This window comes from Homo sapiens, chromosome 13 (genome assembly GCF_000001405.40).
Source record: "Homo sapiens chromosome 13, GRCh38.p14 Primary Assembly".
NCBI classification, from domain to species: Eukaryota; Metazoa; Chordata; class Mammalia; order Primates; family Hominidae; genus Homo; species Homo sapiens.
In genome coordinates this window covers 42692837-42720381 of record NC_000013.11, presented here as the reverse complement: position 1 = coordinate 42720381, position 27545 = coordinate 42692837, and the positions used below count along the sequence as shown (strand labels likewise).

The following is a 27545-nucleotide window of genomic DNA, read 5'->3' as shown; positions in this document are numbered from 1 at the left end:
TTGAATCCTTGAATGTCACTTTTAGCTGTTTCCAATCCTCTAAACAAGTATCTGCCAATCACCTGGACGTGTGAGAGGCAACGCTAGGGTATATAGTTATTTAGTGTGAAATGTTGCCATCAGAATTGAAGAGACGGTCTGTCTAAATCTGAAGGGGTGGCAAGAAGGAATTGAGGAGGCTATGGAAGGGGGGAAAAAAGGAATGAGTAGGAAAAATGTCATACAGGCACAATGAGGCAGAAAATTTCATATGACTTCATCAATCTGGGCTAACCAACAAAAAATTATGGTTTTTTAAAATGAGGCTAAAGTCTTTGAATTATCCTTGGAAAAGAATTTCCTAAGTAAAGAAAAACTGTAAATGAGATTGCAAAGAGGCTCTTTAATCTGCACCTAAAAATTCTTTACATCTTCTAGTGGTGTCTGTTTGCAAAAGCAAAGATATTTCTTGCTTTCTTGTCCGCCAAAGCAGCCCTCTCCAGCAAGTCTCACTTGACAATTTTCCATTAACCACCATTTTTTGTCACTGCACGATATAATAGAATAGAATTTAAAGATTGCATAATTCGGGTTTCTCACTACAGAATTATTTTGGATTAGCTATCTGTTAGCTCATTTAGGATGAATATGTTAATAATTATTATTTTGTAGCTCTACAATATTACTTTGGTCAGCACCTTGCCGATGAAGAGTAACAATATAGGTAGTAAAAGGACCTCAGAATATTTACAGAATTAGGCAGGGTGTTTTTGGTCACAGATGGATGCCTGGACTTCAGTGTCACTTCCATTGCTCAAGGTTCCATGAGCCCAACACAGTCATAGGTTTGATGGGGCACTGGAAATTATCACCTCACTTGATGTTCAGTTTTATCATCTTTTCATTTTCTTACTACCTTCTAGCCACTATTTTATAATGATTTTCAAAGCTTTGTCTTTCTCTACCTCTTCCATTTAGTCATTTCCCACAAGATCCATTTCCCTTCCTGTTCTACATTTTCTTCCCGGTGATAGCACCACTTCCATCGTTGCAGAGGGCCAGACTTTTTAATCACTCTGCTGATGGCTGTTAAGTCTATACTTCCTGACTTAACCTGGCTTCTGAGCCTCAGCTATATTTCCAACTGGAAGTTTCTACCTGCATGTGTCCCACAGGCACCCAAAACTTGGTGTAATTGAACTAAACACATCGGCTCCTTCTGCCCTTAAACTCGTTCCTCCTTTGTTCCTTGAGTGACACCATCAGACGCAGTTGCTTCAGCTAAAGACTCCCCCCATTTCTTACCATCTGATTGTTAAGTCAGATCAATTTTATCTTCAAAGTATCTCCAAGGTGTCTCTCCAGTGTACCATTCTCATAATTTGAACTAGAAACTCCTTACATAGCTGTCAATTCTCCTTACAACCTGATCCCAACTAATCATTCCGGTCTTATAGCTCACCCATTACTCTACCACACACCTCAATGCTATGTAATTATGTGACTATGGAACCCTTCTCATGTTTGTTAATCTCTCAATACCTCAACTTTCTCCTCTGTAAAATAGGGAGAATAATAAGCCCTACCCTAGAAATTTGTCTTGAGAATTACAGGAGACAATAGATGTAAAGTATTCAGTATAGTACCTGGCCCAACCAAAGCATTATATGTGTAATCTCCTCTTCTTTCTCCCCTTTTTGCCCTCTTCTTTCTCCTCCTTCTTCTTCCAAGTGTATAGTATGTAATCTGTCAAGAATTTATTTTACTTATTTAATTATTATTTTATTATTTATTTATTAAAATCTTTATTTTGGCATAAACTAAAATGAAAACATTATCTACATAAAACTTGACCCTTTAACCATATCACATTCTATGATCTAAGTCTCCGGTTTTCCCCAAACAGCAGTAACTATACTACAAAATTTATAATTATAACTACTTTTAGGGAAATAGTGGTGAACAAACCAGCCAACAGATGTGTAAGCAGAAAAACCTTCCTCCCTATCCTCCCCACTACCACTCTAGAAGATTTCCAAACAGCCCAGTAGAGTTGCCACTTTGTCACATAGAACCAGAAAAGGCCAGCAGGGTCAGGATACCAATACCTCATGGACATTAAAATATCACTGGAAATGGAACAGAATAGAAAAGATTTTGTATTTAACAAGATTCCTTTCAGGGAGAGTTAATGGTAGTAGTGGTAGCAGAGGCAAAGGTAGGGGTAAAGTGTGGGGTCCCCAAAGCACATGCTTGAGTAACAATAAATGCTTGCCATGTCATCTTCTAAGATTTGTAGGTAGATGGGCTTTGTAGGGTAAGACTTTGGGTTTTCTGAATGGCAAATGTGATTTCGTGGCTGAAGCTGAATTGTTGCAGACTAATGCTTTTCAAACTTCTGTACACATCAGCATCTCCCAGAGGGTTTGTTAACACATAGTGCTGGGCCTCCCTCCAGAGTTTCTGATCCAGCAGCTCTGGGATGAGGCCCAGGAATCTGAATTTCTAGGGGCTTCTCAGATGAGGATGAAGTTGTCGATGTGGAGAACATACTTTGAAAACCATTGAGAAGATGCCGATCCTGCCAATGCCAGCAGTCCTACTCTGCTGCTTCTCCACCCTAAACATCGTATTTTTTAAAGAGAATCAGTTTGATGAATGACATGTTATTAGCATTCTTGATATTCCTAACTACTAATTCTTTCAGAGTACCTGCATGTCTGGATCCAGCCGTGACTACCAACTAATAAATAATAAAGCCACTAGTTTCCTCTCTTCCTCTCTCCTACATTCCCTACATGGCATTGATCCTAAAATGGCTACCTTCACATCACCCAGGGAAAAAAAGGAATTTAGGCACAAACATAAGAAAACATTTGATAAAAATATTACTTTTGTAATTTAGTAACCTAGTGAGATAGAAAAACATATTTTATCTGTTTCAAAAGTTGAATTTCATCAGCGTATGGCATATGCTTCATTATACTGGTTAGTGATGTCTGTTACAAACAAGGTTCCCAAATGCCATGCCAGCTTGCATAGTTCTGAGAAAGAGGTCCAAATATATTCCATTGCATTTCCCAATTAAAATTGTTCATTTTGGAGTGAAGTTGTAAGAATGATTGTCCAGGCAGCCCACTCTTTTATTTATAGTCCTTTCAAATTAAATCTGAAGGCATTTCACTGATGATTTGATTCTGATTTTTTTTTTATGTTTCTCACATTCAATAAATGTCAAATTGCTGGACAGCCCCGACTCTATCTTACTTAACTTTAATTCTCCAGATTCTAGCATATGCCTGGCACATAGTAGGTGCTTAATTCATTTTTTGTCAATTAAAGGGAGTATGGGTGATACTTTTACAATTGAATTATGACCATCCTGAGGGGACTTTTCCCATATGATCCACTGCTTTATAGTCTGCCATATAACCAATCAGACCCCAAACCTTCAACAAAAAGCAGAACTATAGACAAAGCCACCCATCGGGGCATGAGTGGTGTTGGGATTACATTAGTCAATTGGATTGAGCCTTGTTCTCACAAGGGAAGGAGATTTCACAGTTCTCTTAATTACCCATGTTTTATTGCTAATATTCACAGCCCTTTTTTCAAAAGACCTGAATCCAATCCATTTAGAATGGACATTTCTCTTAGAAAAGATCCAAATAATATTATTTGTAGATAATCTTTTTTAAAAGATGTTGAAGTATATTTAAGGCACAGACATAATCTATATACTTGATAAACCACCTACAGTAAATGTTACTGGGTATTCCTTTTGATGTTAAAAATATCGGGCCAGGTGCAGTGGCTCATGCCAGTAATCCCAGCACATTGGGAAGGGCTGAGATGAGCATATCACCTGAAGTCAGGAGTTCGAGACCAGCCTGGCCAACACAGTGAAACCCTATCTCTACTAAAAACACAAAAATTAGCTGGGCGTGGTGGCGGGCTCCTGTAATCCCAGCACTTGGGAGGCTGAGGCAGGAGAATCGCTTGAACCCAGGAGGCGAAGTTTGCAGTGAGCCAAGATCACACCATTGTACTTCAACCTGGGTGACAAAAGCGAAACTATGTATACATTTTTAAAAATGTGATTAATATAACTCTCCTGTTGAGGAAAGTCTGGTATAATAAAGGGCCTGACTCCATTTTTGGTGTCTGCTGCTGACAGCTCCGAGCTCCACTGCCCTCCCCTCCTCTCTGTCACTCTGTGGAAGCTGATGAGAGGGCCCCTGCGCTTCCTTTTTGGCACTGGCAGGAATGTCAAACCTGCAAGCTCTCATCCCTGTGTGTGGGAACCCTCACCTCAGCTCTTTCGCTAACACCATGAACCCCAGGCCAGGCTCCTTTCTTTGCTCTCTTAAGCTATTTTTGGAGCTGCTTGGGAGCCTGCCCTGCTGTCCCCAGAAAGCCTCATTATGTGAGTAAAAACCTTTTCCTACCCTCTTAGTGCATGTGTGACAACATCAGTCTCAACATCTGAACCAGATTTTGGGTGGAGGAACCATTAATCTCTGCAAAGTTACCAGAAAAACTGGTATCTGGAATATATAAAGAACTTTTGTCATTCAATAATAAGAAAAAAATCTAATAAAAACTAGGCAAAAGATTTAAATAATCACCTCACAAAATAAGACACATAGATTGTACATAATCACATAAAAAGATGATCAATATAATTCATCAATAAGAAAATGCAAATGAAAACCATAATAAGATATAACTACACACCTAGTAGATAGCTAAAAAAATTTTTTGAAATAGGGTCTCACTCTGTCACCCAGGCTGGAGTGCAGTGGTGTGATCATAGCTCACTGCAACCTCGAATTCCTGAGCTCAAAGGATCCTCCCTCCTCAGCCTCTTGAGTAGCTGGGACTACAAGTGTGTACCATCACAACCAGCTAATTTTATTATCAGTTATTATTATTATTATTATTGAGATGGAGTCTCACTCTGTCGCCAGGCTGGAGTGCAGTGGCGCAATCTCGGCTCACTGCAACCTCCAACTCCTGGGTTCAAGCCATTCTCCTGCCTCAGCCTCCCTAGTAGCTGGGACTACAGGCACGCACCACCACGCCCAGCTAATTTTTGTATTTTTAGTAGAGACAGGGTTTTACCATGTTGGCCAGGATGATCTCTTGACTTCATGATCCTCCCACCTCGGCCTCCTAAAGTGCTGGGATTATAGGCGTGAGCCACTGTACCCGGCCTCAGTTATTATTATTTTATAGAGACAAGGACTTGTTCTGTTCCCCAGGCTGGACTCAAACACCAGGCCTCAAGCAATCCTCACTGCCTTGGCCTCCCAAAATGCTGGGATTACAGGCATAAGCCACCACACCCGGTCCTAATTTTTTTTTCTTTAATGACAATACTAAGTACTAGTGAGGATGCAAAGTAACTGGGACACTTACACGTTGCTGGTGGGAATGGATAATAGTACACCCACTTTGAAAAACAGTTTGGCAGTTTCTTACAAAGTTAAACATGTGCATGACATACAATGCAGAAATTCCACTTCAAGGTAAGAGGAATGAAAACGTATGTATACAGAAAAATCTATATGAAAAAACTGACTAACCAAATGTCCATCAATTGCTGAATGAACAACTTTGGTATACACATTAAATAAAATTCTCTTCAGTAATAAAAAGATCAACTACTGATACATGCAACAACACGGGGAATTTTAAATGTATTATGGTAAATGAAAGAAGCCAGACTTAAAAGTCTACCTAGCATATGGTTTCATTTGTATGACATTCTGGAAAAGGTGATACTACAGAGAGAAGAAACAGATCAATGGTTGCCAGGGCCTGAAAGTGGGAGGAAAAGTTTGACTTCAAAGAGACAACAGAGAATTTTGGAAGGTGATGGATATGTTATATCATTACTGGAATGGTGGTGGTAACATAACATTTGCATCTGTCAAAACTCATAAAACTGAGCACAATAGGTACTGTATTTAAATTATACCTTGTAAACCTGGCTTTAAATAAGTTGTGATTCTTATTAGTCAGTGACTTCAACACCATTTTAGCCAACTTGTATGAAATATATAGCACCACTATTTCCAAATGTATTGCAATGCTTCTCTCAAATGGAGAAATGCAGGAACCAAATAAAAATCATACAGTTTTGTGCAGTGAAGACACAAAAGACAAAAACATTTCCCCCCTCCTTGTCTGCCACCTCGTCTTCAACCTATTTCCCTTTGCTGTTTCTTGGTAGTTACAGTGAAGATTAAATCCTACCTTTTTAGACTGCTCATTGAAGATTAAGTAAATTCAAGGGTTGGCATGAAAACATTCTAAATGGTTTGAGTTCTTTCAACATTTTGCCTAATAGCATTTTTGCTCATATATCTTATCAATTAAGGGGTAATTTTAGATAAGTGAACATCATTAGAAGGGTGCATACTAAGTGTGGATATTGAAGCACTCATATGGCCTCATCAAGAATAATTTGATTAAATAACTTGGACAGATTCTGTTTCTTTATAATTCTATGAGGAACAAAAATGGGAGAGTATCAGCTCCCTAGGGGAATAAATGAAATAGATAATGCTGTGGTCAAATGAGCAAAGAGAAGCACTTTACTAAAGATGGGGCTTTCTGTCTTCATTAGAAAAATTGAAGATGTTCTAAAGAACTCCATTAAGGATAATGGTGTCTCTTAGAAAAACTGTGTGCTTCATGGCTTAGGTACTTGATTAAAAGGCTAATTCACCCTCTTTTTATCTAATTGATCTTGTTTTCTTCTCCTTCATCCTGCCCTTGAGATATCCCAAAGTAGATTACACGTAACCACTAACAAACAGCTTCTTTCCCTTACTCATCCAGGCACGCCAAACTGTGTACTGCTATCACAGGTCCTCTCAATACCTGAAGATGATTGACTGGATTCTGGGAGTGACTACACTTCCTTTGGGAAGACAGCTCCTAGTTTTCGTGCATGGGAATCCCTTCTGAAAACGTAATTGCCTGTCATGGAGAAAAGAAAAAAGTCTCTGTCATACTCACTCCCCTTCTTTTCGAGGAAAAGGTCCTTTACTATTGTGGGCAAAAAGGGACTCACCCCTTGATCCATATCCATATTCCCACTGAGCCCTGTAGGGAAGATTCATCTCAAGAGAGGGGTGGAGGATATCCATGAGCAAACATGGCAGCCGCTTGGCAGTTTCAAAGAGGCCTTGAAAATAAATCTATTTCTATTTCTCCCTTCATGATGTGTGATGTAAGAATGCTTTCCAACCACTCTCTGTTGCCACACTGATGGTTGATGACATTTATGTACATAGCACCGTCATTCATTCATTTCAGACATATCCATTGTGTCAGATGCTCTTTTAGGCACCAGCAATACAACAGAGAACAAACAGACAATAATTAGTCCCTTGGGAATTTACATTTCAGTAACGCAGATAGGTAATAAAAAGATAAGTAAGACACATATATACATTTAAATTATAAGTAAGTATTTATTATTATTGCTGAAAACAGCAGTACATTGGAAAACAAGAGAAAATCATATAAAATAATATAAAAATAGGAAAAATGATTCAAAATAAGATTATAAATATTAAAGACCAAGCAGTTTCATCATTGTCTAAGTGACTGATATGGTTTGGCTGTGTCCCCACCCAAATCTCAACTTGAATTGCATCTCCCAGAATTCCCACATGTTGTGGGACAGACCCAGGGGGAGGTAATTGGATCATGGGGGCCGTTCTTTCTCATGCTATTTTTGTGATAGCGAATAAGTCTCATGAGATCTGATGGGTTTATCAGGGGTTTCCGCTTTTGCTTCTCCCTCATTTTCTCTTGCTGCCACCATGTAAGAAGTGCCTTTCACATCCCGCCATTATTCTGAGGCCTCCCCAGTCCTGTGGAACTGTAAGTCCAATTAAACCTCTTTTTCTCCCCAGTTTCAGGTATGTTTTTATCAGCAGCATGAAAATGGACAAATACAGTGACATATCCAAAAATAATAATAGAATAAAGTGTACATGGATTTAGTACATTATTACAAAATGTTCTTAAAATAGTCCTGAATATTTGAAAAGTTAGTGCATTTCAAGGATAAAGAATATATCCCATGGAAAATTTCTGTGGAAAACTCAAAGTATTTACAAAATTTTAGAAAATAATGTTCTCTTAAACTTGTTCATAATTATATTTAATGTCCAGAGTGCACAAAACTTTGTAACAAACCCAAGAAATTTTGTCCATAGCTAAGTTGTCCTTTGGGTCAGGAATACAAGTACTATCACCCAGACATTCTCAAACATGAGAGAAGGCATGCTCCATGAGCCTCACTTGAAAAATACTCAAGACTTGAGGACAGTATCTTTTCAACCACAAGTGAATCAGAATCGAAAAAAAAAATCAGAAATGAAGAAGCTATGGTAAAAGACCTGACAGTCAACATATAATCTATTTATTAAATTCTATAAAATGGATGGAATTATGAGGACAAAACATAATATATACGTAAAAACTGGAGAGTTAAGAGAAGGGGAGGCAGGATAAGAATAAGGGGTTTAATTTTCTCATATTAATAGTGTGAAGTCAATTGATATGGCCTAACATTTGAAGGGGTGGCCTGCCCCTCCACACCTGTGAGTATTTCTAGTTGGGTGGGACGAGACACTGAGAAAGGAAATAAGACACAGAGACAAAGTATAGAGAAACAACAGTGGGCCCAGGGTACCGGCGCTCAGCAAACCAAGGACCTGCACCAGCACTGGTCTCTGAGTTCCCTCAGTTTTTATTGATTATTATCTTCATTATTTCAGCAAAAAGGAATGTAGTAGGAGGGCAGGGTGATAATAAGGAGAAGGTCAGCAACAAATATGTGAGCAAAAGAATCTACGTCATAATTAAGTTCAAGGGAAGGTACTATGACTGGACGTACATGTAAGCCAAATTTATGTTTCTCTCCGCCCAAACATCTCAGTGGAGTAAAGAATAACAAGGCAGCATTGCTGCAAACATGTCTCGCCTCCCACCATAGGGCAGTTTTTCTCTGATCTCAGAATTGAACAAATGTACAATTGGGTTTTATACCGAGACATTCAGTTCCCAGGGGCAGGCAGGAGACAGTGGCCTTCCTCTATCTCAACTGCAAGAGGCTTTCCTCTTTTACTAATCTACCTCAGCACAGACCCTTTACGGGTGTCGGGCTGGGGGACAGTCAGGTCTTTCTCATCCCACGAGGCCATATTTCAGACTATCACATGGGGAGAAACCTTGGACAGTACCCCACTTTCAAGGGCAGAGGTCCCTGCAGCTTTCCGCAGTGCATTGTGCCCCTGGGTTATTGAGACTAGAGAATGGCGATGACTTTTACCAAGTATACTGCTTGTAAACATTTTGTTAACAAGGCATATCCTGCACAGCCCTAGATCCCTTAAACCTTGATTTCATACAACACATGTTTTTGTGAGCTCCAGGTTGGGTCAAAGTGGCTGGGGCAAAGCTACAAATTAACAACATCTCAGCAAAGCAATTATTTAAAGTACAGGTCTTTTTCAAAATGGAGTCTCCTATGTCTTCCCTTTCTACATAGACACAGTAACAGTCTGATCTCTCTTTCTTTTCCCTACAACATTGAAACACATAACCAAATACACATTCACATCATGATTCGAAACTCATGTTATTTTTCATTATCTTCCTTTAAACTTGGAGAAATATTTTAGAAACTCATAGCACTCATGGTGAAGAAATGTTTTCTTCTACTATGTGATAGGATCTTATTTTAGAAAATTATACCTAATTATCTTGATCTCTGTATAAATGCATAGAAAAATAACACAGATAATGTTCACCAGATGTAGGAAATGATTATTTCTGGGTGGCAGGATTTGGAATAATTTTTTACTTTCCTCCTTTAATTTTTCTATATTGCTTGACTAGTCATAATGAGTACATATAATTTTTTATGTGAAAACAATTAATTTACAAAAGACATGCCTATAATCCTTTATTCAAAACCCTTGGGACGAGATATATTTCAAAGTTAGAATTTTTCAAATTTTAGAAAAATAATAGGGTGCTTATGGAACATCCTTTGAGAGTCTGGGCCAGCATCCCCAAATCAAGCATGTTAATATCACTACGGCAAAAATAAGAATATTCATACAAAAAATATGACTATAATTAGCTTTTCTAGTGTCAGTTCAGGTCAGGTGTTATCAAACTGATAAATGATAATGATTTTTAGGCAAATCAACAAAAATTTTTTTACTTTCAGGGCTCTTTGATTATATATAATAGTTTTGTGGATAAGGAAATATGGATCATTATGCACCAGTTACCCATTTTTCAGGGTTTTGCTTTCTTTGGCTTTGGTTTCTTATAGTTAATCATAGTCTGAAAATACAGTACAATAAAATATTTTGAAAGAGATTACATTTACATAACTTTTATTATAGTATATTGCTGTAATTGCTTTATATTATTACAGTCTGTAATAATACAGTCTGTCATGATAATCATTACAAGACTGTAATAATATAAAGTCATGGACCACATTTATCATGGCGGTCCCATAAGATTATAATGGAGCTGAAAAACTTCTACCACCTAGTGATGCTTTGATGATCCATACCCTGTGTAAGTCTAGGCTAATGTGTGTGTTAGTGCCTTAGTTTTTAACAAAAAAGTTTAAAATAAAAAAAATTAAAAACAAAACAGTTTATAGGATAAGGATATGAAGAAATAAATTATTTTTGTACAGCCATAAAATGTGTTTGTGTTTTAAGCATTTATTACAAGGGTCAAAATGTTAAAAAAAATTTAAAGTTTGTAAAGTGAAAGTTAGAGTAAGGTAAAGGTTAATTTATTATTGAAGAAATCTAAAAAATAAGTTGAGTGTAGCCGAAGTGTACAGTATTTATAGAGTCTACAGTCATGTACAGTAATGTCCTAGGCCTTTACATTCACTCACCATTCACTCACTGACTCACCCAGAGCAACTTCCAGTCCTGCAAGTTCCATTCATGGTAAGTGCCCTATACAAGTGTACCATTTTTAATCTTTTATATGCTATTTTTGCTGTACCTTTTCTACGTTGAGTTACACAAATACTTACCATTATGTTACAATTGTCTACAGTATTCGGTGCAGTAACATGCTGTACAGGTTCGTAGCCTATGAGTAATAGGCTACACATATAGCCTAGATGTGTAGCAGGCTATACCATTGAGATCTGTGTAAGCAAACTCTACAATGTTCGCAAAATGATGAAGTCACCTAATGACAGGTTTCTCTGAACATATCCCCATCATTAACAATGCATCACTGTATTAGTTACTATTGTTAATCTCTTACTGTGCCTAATTTATAAATTTATGAATTAAACTTTACCATAGAAAAAATCAGTATATAGAGAGTTTGGTACTATTCACTGTTTCAGGCATCCACTGGGGTCTTGGAATGTATCCTCCCTCAGATAAGGGGAGACTTATTTAATTTGAATGTCCGCTTAATGTAAGCAACTTAGCATCCTCCAATCATCCTAATGTGTTTGTGTTTTTAATCTAGATATTGTGGGTAGCTCCTCCAATTCTTTATTCTCCACCTATTTTGCAAGCCACACAGTCATCTCCTTTCTGCTATATACACCTTTCCTCACCCCCATCTTTACCCCCTCACTTTCTGGGTTTCATCAGCATAGGAAGGCAGGGTGGCAGAGTGGGAAACATTCTAAACAAGAGAATTAATTTTAGCTTATTTTATTTTAGCTCTGCCATCTAACAGCTATGTGACTTTTGACAAGCCAGTGTCCTTGATAAGACTCTCCACACAGCACCAGACCTTTGTAGCACATATTACGTCTAATTATACTTAGATATAAATAACATTTTATATCTAATTATTCAAGAGGTCAGTTGTAAAGGAAAAGAAGGGAGGGATTTGTTAAATAAATGAGTGAGTGGCCGGGGCGCTGGGCTCAGGAGCTATTTGTCTACGAGTCTCAGGTCCACTTCAGCATTAACATACAGGCTTTGTTAGTGTCATAATCAAAACAAAATCTCTCTGCTTTCAAAAATATCTGTCAGGTCTTTTTATCTGCCAAGCTCTTTGATGTCAGAATATCCTAGGTTACCCTAACAATACACTTCATTTCTTCATCTTAGATAACTGGACACAAGTGTCAAACTAAATCAGGATTTAACTTGATGTTTTATGAGATCCAGTTGGATTCTAAACTCAGTTCTCCAGATCTATAAATGTACATATCATCTAATAAAGAAAAATAAGTGTCCCAGAAGTTTTCAGTCCTCCATTTCCATGAATTATTCAAATAAGTTTAGAAATAATGAAAACATGAACTCTACCTGCTAAAATTCCTATATAGTAAGCATGTAAGCATATTCATCAGACTTAGATTTGGGTAAAATAGCCTCATTCTAAAGAGCTTTTAGCTATGAAAGCAACGAAGCTGTGCTAAAAGATCATTTAAAGTCATAAAAAACAGTTGAATTGCTGAAGCTCCGTCAGCAGAAGCTCTGGAAAGACTGTATGGAGGAAATTTCCAACTTAAGACTTTTGCCTATTAATAAGCTGCAATGGGAAGTCAGGCACTTGGGTAGCTGACTCACATGGAAAAACTTTTCAAACCACACATCCCTTTGGTGGGTTACTTTTAACAAAGGGAAATTCTGCCATGGATGTCTGGTTGCATCTGACAACTGGGGTTGCCTATGGAAGAGACGTAAGATTCAACATGGCACCATCGTTCTCATGCATCAAAGGAAAATAAAATAGAAAGAAACCAATGGCTTGTTTTCTCTGATTGGTGTCCAAATTACTGAGAGAAGTTCTATCTTTAAATTTTCTTAAGTACTGTGAGTACTGGATTAGTACCAAGAGGGTCTGTGTTTCTGGGCTTGTGCTCAAACCAGTAACCTCCTATTTCTTAGGCCACAAAACATAATGACTTCTGTGATGTTGGAGGCTCTGAAAGCACAGGTCTGGGGGACTGGACTTGGCCATGCTGCCAGACCATGCATTGAGTTCAACAATCCTCATCTTTTCAGAATCTTAGTTGGGATCAACTCAAGCTTATGCGCTCAGAAATAAGTGCATACACACACACTAACACACACACACAGAGTCTCAGCAGATGGGATATTTTCTTTTTCAACAAACCAATTCATATTTCTTACAAACATGATGCCACATCAGCATTTCTTTCAGCCTGCAGAGTAGTTAACCGGATGCTGCCAGCATGAAAGCTGACTGTTTATTACGTAACTACTGGAAGAATCAATTTCTTCTGTAAAATTAAATTCTTGTCCGTGAATACATCTCAGGAATGTTGTGATGTTTAGGTGAGTGTTTTTATGACAGTGCATTTTACCTTAAAATCCTACACCAGCATTCCCAATGTGTCCCAAAGGAGATAAGTCTCCAAAAAGGTTAATAGGTATTTTGCAAAAATAAAATAAATGAATTCAATTGCCAGCTCAAATTAAGCTGGGGAAAGCTTAGGTTAAGCCAAGTGCCTTTACTGGAGAGCATACCAGAGCCTGTAAGTCCCTAATGTGCAATAAGGATTTCCAAGGGAATGGTATGCAATGCAGTACTGCCCAATGTGCCTTACCTTGGAATTATTTTTCAATAAGCATCTCAGGAGATATTTTCTGGGACACACTGAACCTTAAAAGGCGAGTCACGTTAGAGCGGGTATAAGACGAACTGACCAGCCTGGCCGGAACCTTAATGGAATTAACCTGAAAGCATAGCAACATCCATGTTTCTGCACAAAGGGGAATCTATTTTCAGTTTGGAGCATCAGTCATAAAAATATTTTTCATGCTGGAAAGTAGGTAAGAGCCTCATCACTTCTTCACAGTTTAGACAGACACATAGGGACAGAAGGCTGATTACACAGTGCTGCTCAGGGTAGACAGCAAGGCTGTGACATTCCTAGGCTGACTGATAAGCGACTAGTGGGAGCCATTTGCAGAGCATGTTGGAAGATGCAAAACTCCCTTACAGATAACATTGAAAAAAAATCTTATTTGAGAATTCTATTGAAAAATTTATTATGTGACTACATCAGCCTTGAAAAACGTGTAACACATTAGCCAGAAAAGGGTTACTAGAACATGGATGACTGAAGAAGAGAAATCCAGCAAAACCAAAGAGAAAGTCTCTTAAATGTGCATAGATTCCAACCAGCAGGGATGGAAAATCGGAAATTATGAGAACACTGTCATATTGTTTCATTTTATAAATTATTCTTAAATTAATCATATGCTAGAATACATAAAATATACATTTTATGGAGTAGATTCATGATTATCTTTCATATTGTGTTCATAAAGCTTCAATTCTTCCAGATGTTATTGTAGACAAATATCTGGACAAGAAGAATTCCATATTCATGCATAGAGATCCCAGATCGGCAGCCTCGCTTTCAGGATTTAGTTCTAACAGTGGTGTCTCCCTACAGATGATGTTACTATTATTATTTACTTTTGTAAGCCTAAGAGCAAGTCCAGGCTTATTAACCTGGGAACATTAAATAAGCATTAATGTTAATGCAACTAATAGGCTAATTAGTTGCTAAGGGTGAAGTTAACATAATAATGTCCACTCCCAGGTTAACATTTGAATCAGAAAAGTTGATATTCCTAATTCCAATTATTATTATCCAGAATATTCTAGAGCTATGTTATGAACTTAGTATAGAAAATAATAATAATAGTAACAGCTACCATTATTGAGTGCCTACAGTATACAATATGTCCAAGTGGTAGAGCCAGCATCTGAACCCAGGTTTGTTCACCAAAAACCTCTCCACTCACCACACTGACTCAGGAGGTACTACTCCAAGAAAGTTTTGAACAAAGTTAATAGTGAAATTATGCAACCATTGGCCAAAACTTACAACCTTCACCTCAAATGATCCCAATGCCTCAGGATTGTGGTTTGTCAATGACTGGCTTATAGAAGAGGGTATAGTTGGAACCCTAGGATTTTAGAGTACCTAAGTGTTGGGTTTTCTCAATATTAGCAAATGGGTAGACTGATAGCAAAGACTAGGATTATTGAGAACGCACCTAGAGAAAAACTATGTGGTTTTTAGATGGAGAATGCAAGTCTGACTAATTCTTTGGTTTTTCTGAAGGAATAAATAAGGAAGGGGATTGTGTTAACTGCTGAATGTAAACTATTTATTCTAAAAAGAAAGGTTGAGAATCTTTCACCCCCCATGCAATTAAAAAAGAGTCATCGGCCAGGTGCAGTGGCTCACGCCTGTAATCTCAACACTTTGGGAGGCCAAGGTGGGTGGATCACCTGAGGTCGGGAGTTCAAGCCCAGCCTGGCTAACATGGTGAAACCCCTTCTGTATTAAAAATACAAAAAATTAACTGGGCACGGTGGTGCACACCTGTAATCCCAGCTACTTGGGAGGCTGAGTGGGAGAATTGCTTGAACCTGGGAGGCAGAGACTGAGCAGGAGAATCGCTTGAACCTGGGAGGTGGAGCTTGCGGTGAGCCGAGATCATGCCATTGCACTCCTGGCAATGGCCTGGACAACAAGAGCGAAATTCTGTCAAAACAACAACAACCAAAAACAACAACAACAACAACAACAAAAAAAAAAACCATCATCACTGATTTGAAAGAAAAAAAAAGTTTTCTCTGGAGAAGGATTGATTTGGAGAAGAAGCTAAGAGTACAAAAAGTTGGGTGTAATAATGTAAGAATAGAGCTTGCCAAGACACAGGAAGTAGTATCCATTTTATTTAACATATCTATAACTTATCCAAATGAAGGAGTAGCAAGATATTACCATCACTACAAACAATATTAGACCTTACTGAGAGCTAAATATTGCATCAACAAAGATGAACTGGAATGAAATGTTGTGAAGATTTCATAAAACCATGGACATGGAAGCAAAGGTAGTATGTGAGCTGTAATCCATGCATATTAGGAAAGAGTCTAGTAGCCCTGTCCACTGCCTCCTGGGGACATTTGTTTGCCCTGTTCCAACAGCCCTGCCCCGCAAAGTGGTATACGTCACCAGAAATAGCAATAAAAGGGAAAACAGAAAAAGGAAGTCTACCTTCTCCCAACAAGATCTAAACCCAGAGAGCATAAGAATGTCTTCTAGCCAAGGGAGAGGAGGTGGAACAGGAAACAAGAAGGAAATTCCCATGCCCACTTCCCTGGTACAGGCTTCTGAGGTTAAGTCAACTACAAAAGGGAAAAAGCCTTAAAATGAAGGAGAAATTAAGACTGTGATACTAGACTACTCTAAGTACTTAATATCTGAAAGTGATTCAAAAAGGTCTGGGGTCTGCCCAAAATTTTACTGATGGTCAAAGAAGAACAATTCAGTAACACAGGTTTAAAAGGATAGGGCAGAGAAAGAACAAAGCTGTTCTCTACTTGCATTTTACTGAGTTCAACCTGTTGAATAAATGGGCAGTAACTATAAAATCCACCTGTTACACCATCTCATAGCTGTCTGTGTTTTTCCTTCATAGCTCTTACCAAGGTTTGAAATTAAATATTTATATTATTATCTAATTCATCTCTTCCCCAACCAGATGGTCAATTTTATGAGACCAGAGACCTTGTTTGTTGTCTGTTTTTTGTTAATTGCTGTGTTCCTACAATGTGCTTGACACAAGGTTGGCATTGGATAAGTATTTGTTAGGGAATTGAATGGGAATTGAAAACTCTATAAAATTCCAGTTATTGGATCTTAAGAAAAACATGACAGAGCTATAAGAGTTCAGAGATGATGTTTAATTAGATGAGGAGATTTATAAAACACTGTTTAAGGACGGAATAACAGATTAGGCTTTAGAAATGGGAAATGCAAGTGGACACAGCTATAAGAGACCAGAAAGAGACTGACATGGATAGGGTCGATGTGAACTAGTTAGCCAAATCCCCAAACACAAAAACCAGTACTTACAGTTTCAATTTATTCTTTTGGAATATATTAATCTAAGAAATGTTTCAGCTAAGAGTATATATACATTTTTTAAAAGTATAAGATACATCCATCACTAAGAAGTTGGCAGGGGAACTACAATGTTTTAGACCAAATGTTTGAGGTTCTTTGAAAAAAAATCTTACTCTCACATAAATTATCTCCTTATCATTATTAGAAAACAGTCCTGAGTTGGGTCATCTTAGGATACTGATCCTAAGCTGTGATTCCTATTTGCTTACGAATTCTAATGGGCAGTGGTAAGGTTATCAAGTGTTAAATACTTGGTTATCCCTGCATTTAGAAAAAAATGTGAATAGGCCTTTAGCCAATTAATTTGAATAAGCTCCCTAATGGGTAATGTTATCGTAGCAGTTACTATGTGCAACAAACCACAACAAAACTTAGCTTAGAACAATCCTAGTGTTTATTTTGCTCATGAATCTGCAGCCTGCCCGGGCTCAATGAAAATAGTCCATTTCTACCCCACTTGGTATGGGTCAGGGCAGTGAAAAGGCAGTGGGGGCAACCAGAGGCTTGTTCACTCACATGGCTGGTGATTGATGCTGGCTGTTGGCAGGGAACCTCAGTTCCTCTACATGTGGGCCTCTTCATGTAGCTCCTCCACATGAACTAGTTTAGGCTTCTTCACAGCCAAGTGGCTGGGTTTCAAGAACAAGCAACTGAGAGAAAGAGAAAGAGAGAAAGAGGGACAGAGAGAAGAAGCAATGCAAAGGCTGTATCACTGTTATGACCTAGACTCAGAAGTCAAATAGCATTCCTTCAGGCATATTGGTCTGTTGGTTGGAAAAGTCACGGGGCTCTGACCAAATGTGACAAAAAGAGACAGTCCCAGGACCTTGGAGGGAGGAAAAGTGCATATGCATATTGGTGCAGCTATCTTTGGGAAACACAATCTGTTACAGCTTTACTAGAAGAAGAGCCTGTTCTTAAGATTTCCTATTTATCTATGGAGAGAACTAAAAACCAAGTAGAATGGTAAATAGCAATGGATAGAGCTGAAATGTATTGTCCAATATGGCACAAGCCTTGCGCTTGAGTCAATCATTTCAAATATTTACTTATTATTTAGAAATTGGTAAATAACTTTTTGATAGGTAAATTTTGCAAGTGAATTTTTCACTAAGAATTCTAATTTGAGACAATATAAAAAGCCAGCGAGAGTTTTTTTTAAGTAAATAAAGGCAGAATTTTAGGAAGCTCAAATTATCTCATTAGCATCAGTTAGTAAATCAAACCAGTATAGCTTTCCTAAGTCTTCGTATTACACTCTGTGAGTTTTCAGTGCAAAGTAATAGGCCAACATTTACTTTTAATGTTTAACAAAGAAAAATAAAAAGTATAAGTTACCTTATGCTTAAAACAAAATTAAAAATTATGTTGAGAAAATTCTCTGTCAAAATTAGACTACCCTAACATTTTGAAATGGGGGAAATAGAATAATAATGTTATGAATAATTAGCATAATATAATGAATAATGATTTAGAATGAAATGGAAAAGATAATAGAAACTCCAATGCTCCAACATATTTCTCTCTTCTGTATTTATATCCTTATGCTACTTATGCCAAGTTATTACTTGTAGTCATTCTCTCTCTCTCTCTAAACACACACACACACACACACACACACACATATAATTTGAATTTTTAAATCTTGGTTTCACACTAAATGTGTGTTCACCCCAGGCTCCTAACACACTGAATGCTGTGGATATTTGATGCATACTGAAAAAATTGAATGACAATAAAGTGAGGTATATTTTGTACATTGTTTACGGCATGTAAACCTTAAGAACTTTGAATAGTTGGTTGGTTTGAAAGAATCTCTTTTTGGACAGAGAAAAGAGCTTTGACATTGTGTATTTTTTCTCATCTTGCAACTATAAGAAAGAATATGTATCAGGTGGGTGATGCTTGAGGAGGGGAAAGAGTACTCACTTCGCTTTATTGCTCACAGATTACTTCAAATTATCCTCACAGGCATCTGCCTCAATTAACATCCAATCTATTACTCTTCTACTTTTATTCGCAAGGAGGAACGTCTTTATAGCATGGTTGGTTTTGCTTCTCTCCCAGTAAACAAAACATCTTGCTAAATTACTTTTCACAAAAGCCACTTTTAGATAGATATTACGTTTTAAGATAAAAGCCTGAGGAACACAATGCTGAGTTTTTTGAAAAGGAAAAACGGTACACAAGGCCCTGAATGTTTCCACACAATACCCAGAGTACCCAAGAGTTAATCATGGGAGGTCCAGTTTTCAATTCATTTAAACTGGCTTGAATACCACCTATGACCTAAGCAACATTAATAAACCACTTTGCAGCTCTGAAACTCAGTTTACTTATATATAAAATGGGAATAATGCTCCCTGTCTTGCAGGACTGTCACAGGAATTAAGTGACATAGCATGCAAGAGTGACCAGTACTAAATAAATAATCTATGCATACTCTTTTATCACTTTTCCCCAACTTGATTGCTACATTTTTCTGTTTTTATTTTATTTTTTAACATTTCTGTTTTGTTTTTAATGTGATAGGTGAAGAGTTTGAAATTACATACACAGACACACACACAAATCTTTCTCCTTTTTAAAGGAGCTTTCCTTTGTCCTTCTTTCCTCTTTTCCTTCTTTCTTTTTTCATCCCTTTCTTTTCCACAGATGTTTTCAGTATTTGCTATGTGCCAGCCACCAATTATCCAGTGATGAGCAAAGCAGCAGGTCCCTTTCTTTACGCTGCTTAGCATCTATTAGGAGGAAAGAGCATTTGAATAAATAAATAATTAGACTCATCTATCATCACAGCTGAGAAAGAACGGTGTTCAAAGTTCTAGAAGTGATCTTCATAGACAGGATGGTCAAGAAAGGCCTTTGTGAGGAGGTGGTAAATAGAGAAGTAAAGAAGAGTGTGCCGCTTAATCTCCATTTAGAGATTGCACTCTATTCTCTGCCTTTCTCGACCTTCCTCATGCTGGGGGTGGGGCCAGGACCCTGAAGATGGCGTTCCCTATGCTCCCTTGACCTCAGGCTTGCTGGTGGGTTCTGATGAAGTGAGACAGTGGCTAAAGATTGAGGGGCAGGAGGATAGAGATCAGGGTGTCCCATGATTTGATGTTACATCTGTGGCTGTAGCTGTATCCCTCCACAATGACAGCCCCCATCAGAAGAGCCCTTCCCCGGGGTTCCAGATCATAATGGGCTCAGACAGTGCCACTTCCTTCCTGTCTTTACTTCTTCAGCCCACAGGCTGACCATGGCTTCGGGGTGTCTCACCCTTTGAGATACGAGTTGGCAAGACTGGTTTCACAAGATACAGGTCACATAGACGCTGTTGATAAAACAGGGTGCAGTAAAGAGGCCAGCCAAAACCCGCCAAAACCAAGATGGTGATGATAGCAATCTCTGGTCGCCCTCACTGCTCATTTTACACTAACTATAAAACATTTGCATGCTCAAAGGCACTCCCACCAGCACCATGACAGTTTACAAATGCCACGGCAACACTAGTAAGTTACCCTATATGTTCTGAAATGGGGAGGAACCCCCTCAATTCTGGGAATTCTCCACCATTTTCCCAGAAAACTTATAAATAATCCACCCCTTGTTTAGCATGTGATCAAGAAATCACCATAAAAATACCAACCAGCAGCCTGAGGAGCTGCTCTGCCTGTGGAGTAGCCATCCTTTTATTCCTTTACTTTCTTAATAAACTTGGCTTTTGCTTCACTCTGTCAGCTTGTTCTTGAATTCCTTCCCGCACAAAGCCAGGAACCTATGTGGCCTCCCCAGCTGAAAGTTCTTGAAGTGACCTTGATAGACACAGTGGTCAAGAAAGGCCTTTGTGAGGAGGTGACTGTTAAAACCTAAGTCAGACAATGTCATTGCCCTGCTCAAACCTCTGCAAGTTCTCCAGTTTTGGGGTTCACCCTGTGATGCCTTTATTATTTGTCCCTAACCCAGCCCTCACCTTTGAAGTCTCTTCAACTTGGCCCATCTGGTGTGAATTCTGTTTCTAGCCTAGAACCTGAGTGTTACAAAAAGGAGATCCACGTGAAGGAGTTGGAAGGAGCCGTACAAAAGAGGAAACAGCATGTGTATGAAGGTCCCAATACAGGAAAAGCCTGGAGTGTTTGTGAAGTTAGGAGGGCTGTGTGGCTGAAGTCCCACTAGTAAGGGGAAAATGGCTTGAGATGGTTATGGAGATGCAGGCAGGGTCAGGCAGTTAGAGCCTTGAGGCTACCTAAGAAGCTTGGGTTTTACTTTATGAGTGAACTCACAAGTTCTCACTCTTATAAAGAAGGCAAGTTACTTGCTAATTCAAATTGCTCTTTATTTAAGCAGGAGGACAGAAAGCCAGGAATGAATGAGAAGCTTTTGCTTCTCAAGAGGAGAATTATACATATAGATATAGATATATATAATCTTTCTGTTATCACTGTTGTTATTCTTTTCATAAAAGGCTTAATTTAGAATGCATACCTAGAATAAAATGTGGTTTGGACTATAAAATTACACTTTACTGTTTTGAAATCTTCAAGCACAGTTTTATTTCTATCATGTTGTACTTTATAAAGGTAAGGGATTATTATTACTGCTGCTCTGATAAGGTCAATGCATATCTTTTTTATCAGTGGATTAGCTCCATTTATTTCTTTATTGCTAAGCATAGTCAATTTATTTTAAGCTTACTTCAGTCTAAATCAGTGAATCTGTACATCCTTCTGTTCGTCTACTTGCCATTGAAACATTATCTATCTAAACCAAAGCAGCATGAAACCACAGAGACTAAGGAGCAAATCTCTACAGTGGGTCCACATTGTCATTTATTTCCTGCTCATTTCCAAGAGATCTTTGCATCTTCTGCTTAAAGGATGCACAAACCAGACCTCTCCCTCAACCATCTGGATGGCTGCAACAGTGCTTTTCATCACTGCAAAGTAAACTTTAATTCCAAGAAAATGTACCCTTTGCCATCTTTCTCCTTCCTCATTGTCCACTGCTTAACTTTCCTCTCAATCTCTCCTTTTTTACACTTGGCTTAAGCCATTCCTGGAGGTTACTGCCCCTGGGAGCTGATTTGGATACTTTCTTACATCAGCACTCCTAACTGATCTAGCACTGTCTTCTCTGTATGGTACCAGATTAATCTACCTACAACATCTTTTTCCTCACTTCACAATCCCCAAATTTTGCTATTCACAAACCCAAAATGCCTTTTCTTTGTTTACATCGAAAGATCCAAACCTTCCTGCCTGACTTTTAAGACTTTCCTTATCTGCCTCCAAATTTCCTTTGCATCAGGCCAACAACTTTGGAATCATCCTTTACTTCTTTTGTGCTTTCACATCCTACACCCAATCTACTAAGAAAATTTTGTAGACTCTACCCTCAAAATATATATAGAACCCAACCTCTTCTTATCACTTCCAAACTACCACTACAATCATCTCTACTGGATGACAGCTTTTTCCTACTATCCCTGCTTTTATCACTGCAGCCCATTCTCCATACTCTAAGTCAGACAATGTCATTGCCCTGCTCAAACCTCTGCAAGTTCTTTATATTTCACTCAGACTAAAGCCAAAATCTCAGGCCAGGCTTGGTGGCTATGACTGTAATCCCAGTACTTTGGGAGGCCAAAGTGGAATGACTGCTTGAGCCCAAGGAGTTCAACACCAGCATGGGCAACATAAAAACCCTGTCTCTACAAAAAATTTAAAAAATTAGCCAGGCATTGTGGTCCATGCCTGTAGTCCCAGCTACTAAGGGGCTGAGGCAGGAGGATTGCTTGAGCCCAGGAGTTTGAGGCTGCAGTGAGCTAGGATCATACCACTGTACTCCATCCTGGGTGACAGAGTGAGACCCCATCACACACACACACACAAGTGAAAATTTCTAGAATGAACTGCAAGGCTCTACATGATCTGTAGGTTGCCATCCCTTGGCCCCATGCCTTTTGATGCTGTAACCTCATCTTCTACTACTCTTTCTCTCACCCCCCTCTATACATATGTCTTCTTGAACACACTAGGCATGCTCCTGCCTTAGAGCCTTTGCACTTGCTATTCTCTCTCCCTGCAACATTTTGCCTCTGAACATGATATGGTTTGGATCTGTGTCCCCACCCAAATCTCATCTCAAATTGTAATCCTCATAATCCCCACATGTCGAGGAAGGGAGCAGATGGGAGGTGATCGGATCATGGGGGTGGTTTCTCCCATGCTGTTCTCATGATAGTGAGTTCTCACAAGATCTGATGGTTTTATAAGGCAGTTTTCCTTGCTCTTCCTCACTTTCTCTTTCCTGCCACCATGTGAAAAAGGTCTTTGCTTTCCCATCTGCCATGATAGTAAGTCTCCTGAGGCCTCCCCAGCCATGCAGAACTGTGAGTCAATTAAACCTCTTTTCTTTCTAAATTACCCAGCCTCAGGCAGTTCTTTATAGAGGTATGAAAACAAACTAATAGAAGACTCCATACAGACAACCCCTTCACCTTCAAGTCTAAGCTCAAATGCAACCTCTTCAATGAAGCTTACCAGGGCAACCTGCATCAGTCAGGATAGGCAACATTACCCTCTGATAATAACAACCTTCAAAGCTCTGTACCTTAACACAACAAAAATTTACTTCTAGCTCATGTTATACATCTACATAGGCTGCCAAGGTAGTTCTGCTTGTTCTATTCACTCAGGAACCTAGGCTAATGATGGTTCCATTTCAACATGTACTAGGCGATCACCATTCAGAGGAAAGAGGAGCTGCCTTGTCCTACCTAGGTCTTACATATGTCTGCACCCACACACATTGCTTCTACTTACATCTCACTTATTAAAGCAAGTCATATGGCCATGCTTAACTTCAAAAGATCAAATGAAAACAACCTACTACCAAGTGCCTGAAAAGAAGAGAATCAGAATGTATTAGTCATCCTGTATTAGTTATCTCTTGCCACAATAATCCCACATAGCAAATAACTGAGATATCCCAATGGCATTCAACGTTAGTGTTTATTGCTCGTGCTCCTGGGGCAGTTGGATAGGTGGCTTTGCTGCTTTTGATTGTGCTCATTCACGTGTACAGGAGACAGCTTGCATTGGCAAATCCAGGCTTGTCTCACATCGGCTCTCTGCTCTGTGTGGCTCTGAACCTCCAGTGGGCTGGGTCAGTTGTGTTCTTACAGTGATTGCAGAGGTACAAGGGAGAGCAAGCAGAAACACACTAGGACTCTTGAGGCCTGGGCTCACTGGCTGAAAATAACATACTGAAATCTTCTATTTGTCCATCCACCAACTCTGACATTGTCAAGGTTATAATATTTGCATTGTGCTTTAAAACTATTAAGTGTTCCATGTTCTTTCTATGTATTGGTTCTAAATATTGAAAGAAACAAACAGCATTTACAGTATTATGATAATATCAATATTTCCATTAGATTGCCATTAGCTGCAAGTAACAGAATATTTAACGTTAAAAAATACATGAAAGGCCATTGTTTTGGACTGAGCTTCTGTACTAGGCCCCAACAGACCTAACCAAACCAAAATGGAGTTACTCAGGCTAAATGCAACATAATTAAATTGAACTTTAAGGAAGCAGACAGATCCCCAAACAAACGAGTTTTCCCTTAAAACAGGAGATTCTAGTCTACCTGAGTCAGCATAAGGAAGTCCCCTTACCTTTAACCCTTACCAAAAAACAGTAACCTGATGTTAACCAATCCGCTTTTTAAAAAAATTCTTTTGCTCTGTTTTCTTGTTATGACCTTTAAAAATCCACTCTTCTGCTATTGCCCAGTGGGAGCTCTCATTCTATTTTGTAGAATGGAGGCAGCTCCAATTCATGAATTGCAAATAAAAGCCAATTAGATCTATAACTAAATTTGTTGTGATTTTGTCTTTTGATAGTAGCTAAAAACTCTTAAACAGTAAAGTGTTTATTGCCTCACATAATAAATAGACTATGTTAGTTATTTTGAATTTACAGAATGTTTAGCATTTGAGCTTTTTTGTAAAATAATTCTCATGGCTTTTTCCTCAGAGCTGCAACATAACTATAGGGGCTTCAGAGATCATATCCTTATAAAACAACATGCAGAGTAAGAAAGGAACAAGTCATTCCCTATGTCCTTCTTATGGAGTGAGAAAATGTTTTGCTGGAAACCCTCCTAATAGATTTTCACTTTTATCTCATTGGCCAAGATTACACCCCATGCCAGTGCCTACGCTAATCATTTGGAAGGAGAACAGAGTTTCCATGATTCGCTTAAACCAATCATCCTTCATTCCCTGGACTGAGGTGAATCCCATGTAATATATATCTAAACATAACTTGATTATTGCTGAAAAGAATGAGGGAGAGAATAATTGCTAAGTAGGCAACAGTGTCTATGTTTGCTACCCAACATCTCTACAAATACTTTGTTCCATAAAGAATTTTCGAAAATGATCAATGCCACAGAGAACACACTCAACCACTCCTTAAAGAAGAAGACCCCAAGTCTCATCAGTTGCTGTATTAAACTCCAAGTTAAGTAACTCTGGAGTTATGCAGTATTCTCTATCATAATAACTAAATATGATTTCTTGTGGTCCAGGAATCTATGTCTAAAATAGACAGGTTATTTACCTAAATATACTCAACATGTAATGGTGGAGAAGGATCTGGGAAACTTCCATTTTTAAATATCCCATTTGAGGAAGGGGAGAATAAGAAAGTATACAAAAGAACATAAGATCATGGCAGATGGGAGACGGGACTAGATTGCACCTCTGGACAGAGCAGCGTGTGGAGACTCACATTGAGAATTTTAGCTCCAGATTGATTGCAAGAACAAACCAGCAATGCTGAGAGGACGCAAAGACCCTCTGAAGGAAGTGGACTGCTCCTGCAGGACCCAGGAGACACCCCAAATACAGTGAGTGCCTCCACTGTGAAAGTGGGAAAGGGAAAGCCTCCTCTCCCGAACACACACCCCCACTGGAGAAGCTGAAGTTTGGGAAAAGTTTCCAACCTTACCTGAAGCTGAGTCAATTTGGAGAGCTGAGTGAAATACAGGGGTAGGGGAAGCAGCAGAAAGGCCCTGGGAGCTCAATGGGTCCACAAGCAGGCCATTCCTGCCTGGCACCACAGGGATCCATTGGGAGGGCGGCCAGAGGAGTGGAGGGGTAAAACTCCACAAGGAGAAGGAAATCTCTAGCTGAACTGTGTAACAATTTGAATGAAATGAGATGCCTCCTGGCCAGAACTCAAGGGAGGGTGCAGACTCCACAGGCAAGGGAAGAACCAAGCCCTTTTCTTTTGCAGCTGGTAGGCGGTTAACTTGGGACAAGTTTTCAAGCCCAGCTCACCCGCCACCTGGAAAAGAATCGGGGCAGTTGTGGGGGCACACAGTGGTAGTGAGATGGGCCCTTCAGTTTGCGTGGGAGCTGGGTGAGGCCTGTGACTGCCAGATGTAGCCCACTTGCCTGACAACCTGCATGACTCAGCAGAGGCAGCCATAATCTTCCTAGGTACACAACTCCAGTGACCTGAGAATCTAACTCCATCTCCCACAGCAGCCGCTGCAGGACCCGCTCAAGGAGGATCTGAGCTTAGACATGCCTAGCCCTGCCCCCACCTGGTGGTCCTTCCCTGCCCACCCTGATAGCAGAAGACAAAGGGCATATAATCTTGGGAGTTCTAGAGCCCTGCTCACCGCTGGTCCTTTTCCACACTACTATAGCTGATGCTTTCTGGAAAGCACCACCTCCTGGCAGGAGGCCAACCAGCACAAAAATAGATCATTAAACCACCAAAGCTAAGGACCCTCATGGAGACCATTGCACACCCCCACCACCTCCACCGGAACAGATGCTGGCATCCACAACTGAGAGACCCATAGACTGTTCACATCACAGGACTCTGTGCAGACAACCCCCATACCAGCCCATAGCTGGGTAGACTTGATGAGTTGCTAGACCCAGAAGAGAGGCAACAACCACTGCAGTTCAACTCACAGGAATCCACATCCACAGGAAAAGGGGGAGAGTACTACATCAAGGGAACACACCGTGGGACAAAAGAATCTGAACAACAGCCTTTGGCCCTAGACCCTCCCTCTGACAGAGGCTACCCAAATAAGAAGGAACCAGTAAACCAACTCTGGTAATATGAAAAAGCAAGGCTCTTTAACACCCCCCAAAAAATCACACTAGCTCACCAGCAATGGATCCAAACCAAGAAGAAATCCCTGATTGAGCTGAAAAAGAATTCAAGAGGTTAGTTATTAAGCTAATCAGGGAAGCACCAGAGAAAGGCAAACCCCAATGCAAGGAAATCCAAAACACAATACAAGTGAAGGGAGAAATATTCAAAGAAATAGATACCTTAAAGGAAAAACAATTCAAAATTCAGGAAACATTGGACACACTTATAGAAATGCAAAATGCTTTGGAAAGTCTCAGCAATAGAATTGAACAAGTAGAAGAAAGAAATTCAGAGCTCGAAGACAAGATCTTCGAATTAACCTGATCCAACAAAGACAGAAAAATCTTAAAACAAATCCTGGAAACACAACAAAACA

The 27545-nt window shown here is 39.2% G+C and overlaps 1 protein-coding gene across 2 annotated transcripts in view; it reads left to right on the top strand.

Moving 5' to 3' along the window:
* The window catches only part of LOC124903164 (uncharacterized), a 34284-nt gene extending 27075 nt beyond the window's left edge, over positions 1-7209 (top strand). The window contains exon 5 of one of the 2 annotated variants that reach the window (XR_007063769.1): positions 2438-2744. Coding sequence is in view for 1 of the 2 variants with exons in the window: in XM_047430822.1 (XP_047286778.1) it covers positions 6829-6874 (46 nt within the window). In the remaining variant the exon portion in view is untranslated. Of the gene's footprint in view, positions 1-2437; positions 2745-6828 lie in introns of those variants that run through there. The other variant, XM_047430822.1, reaches the window with a different exon arrangement.
* Positions 7210-27545: the final 20336 nt, after the last annotated feature.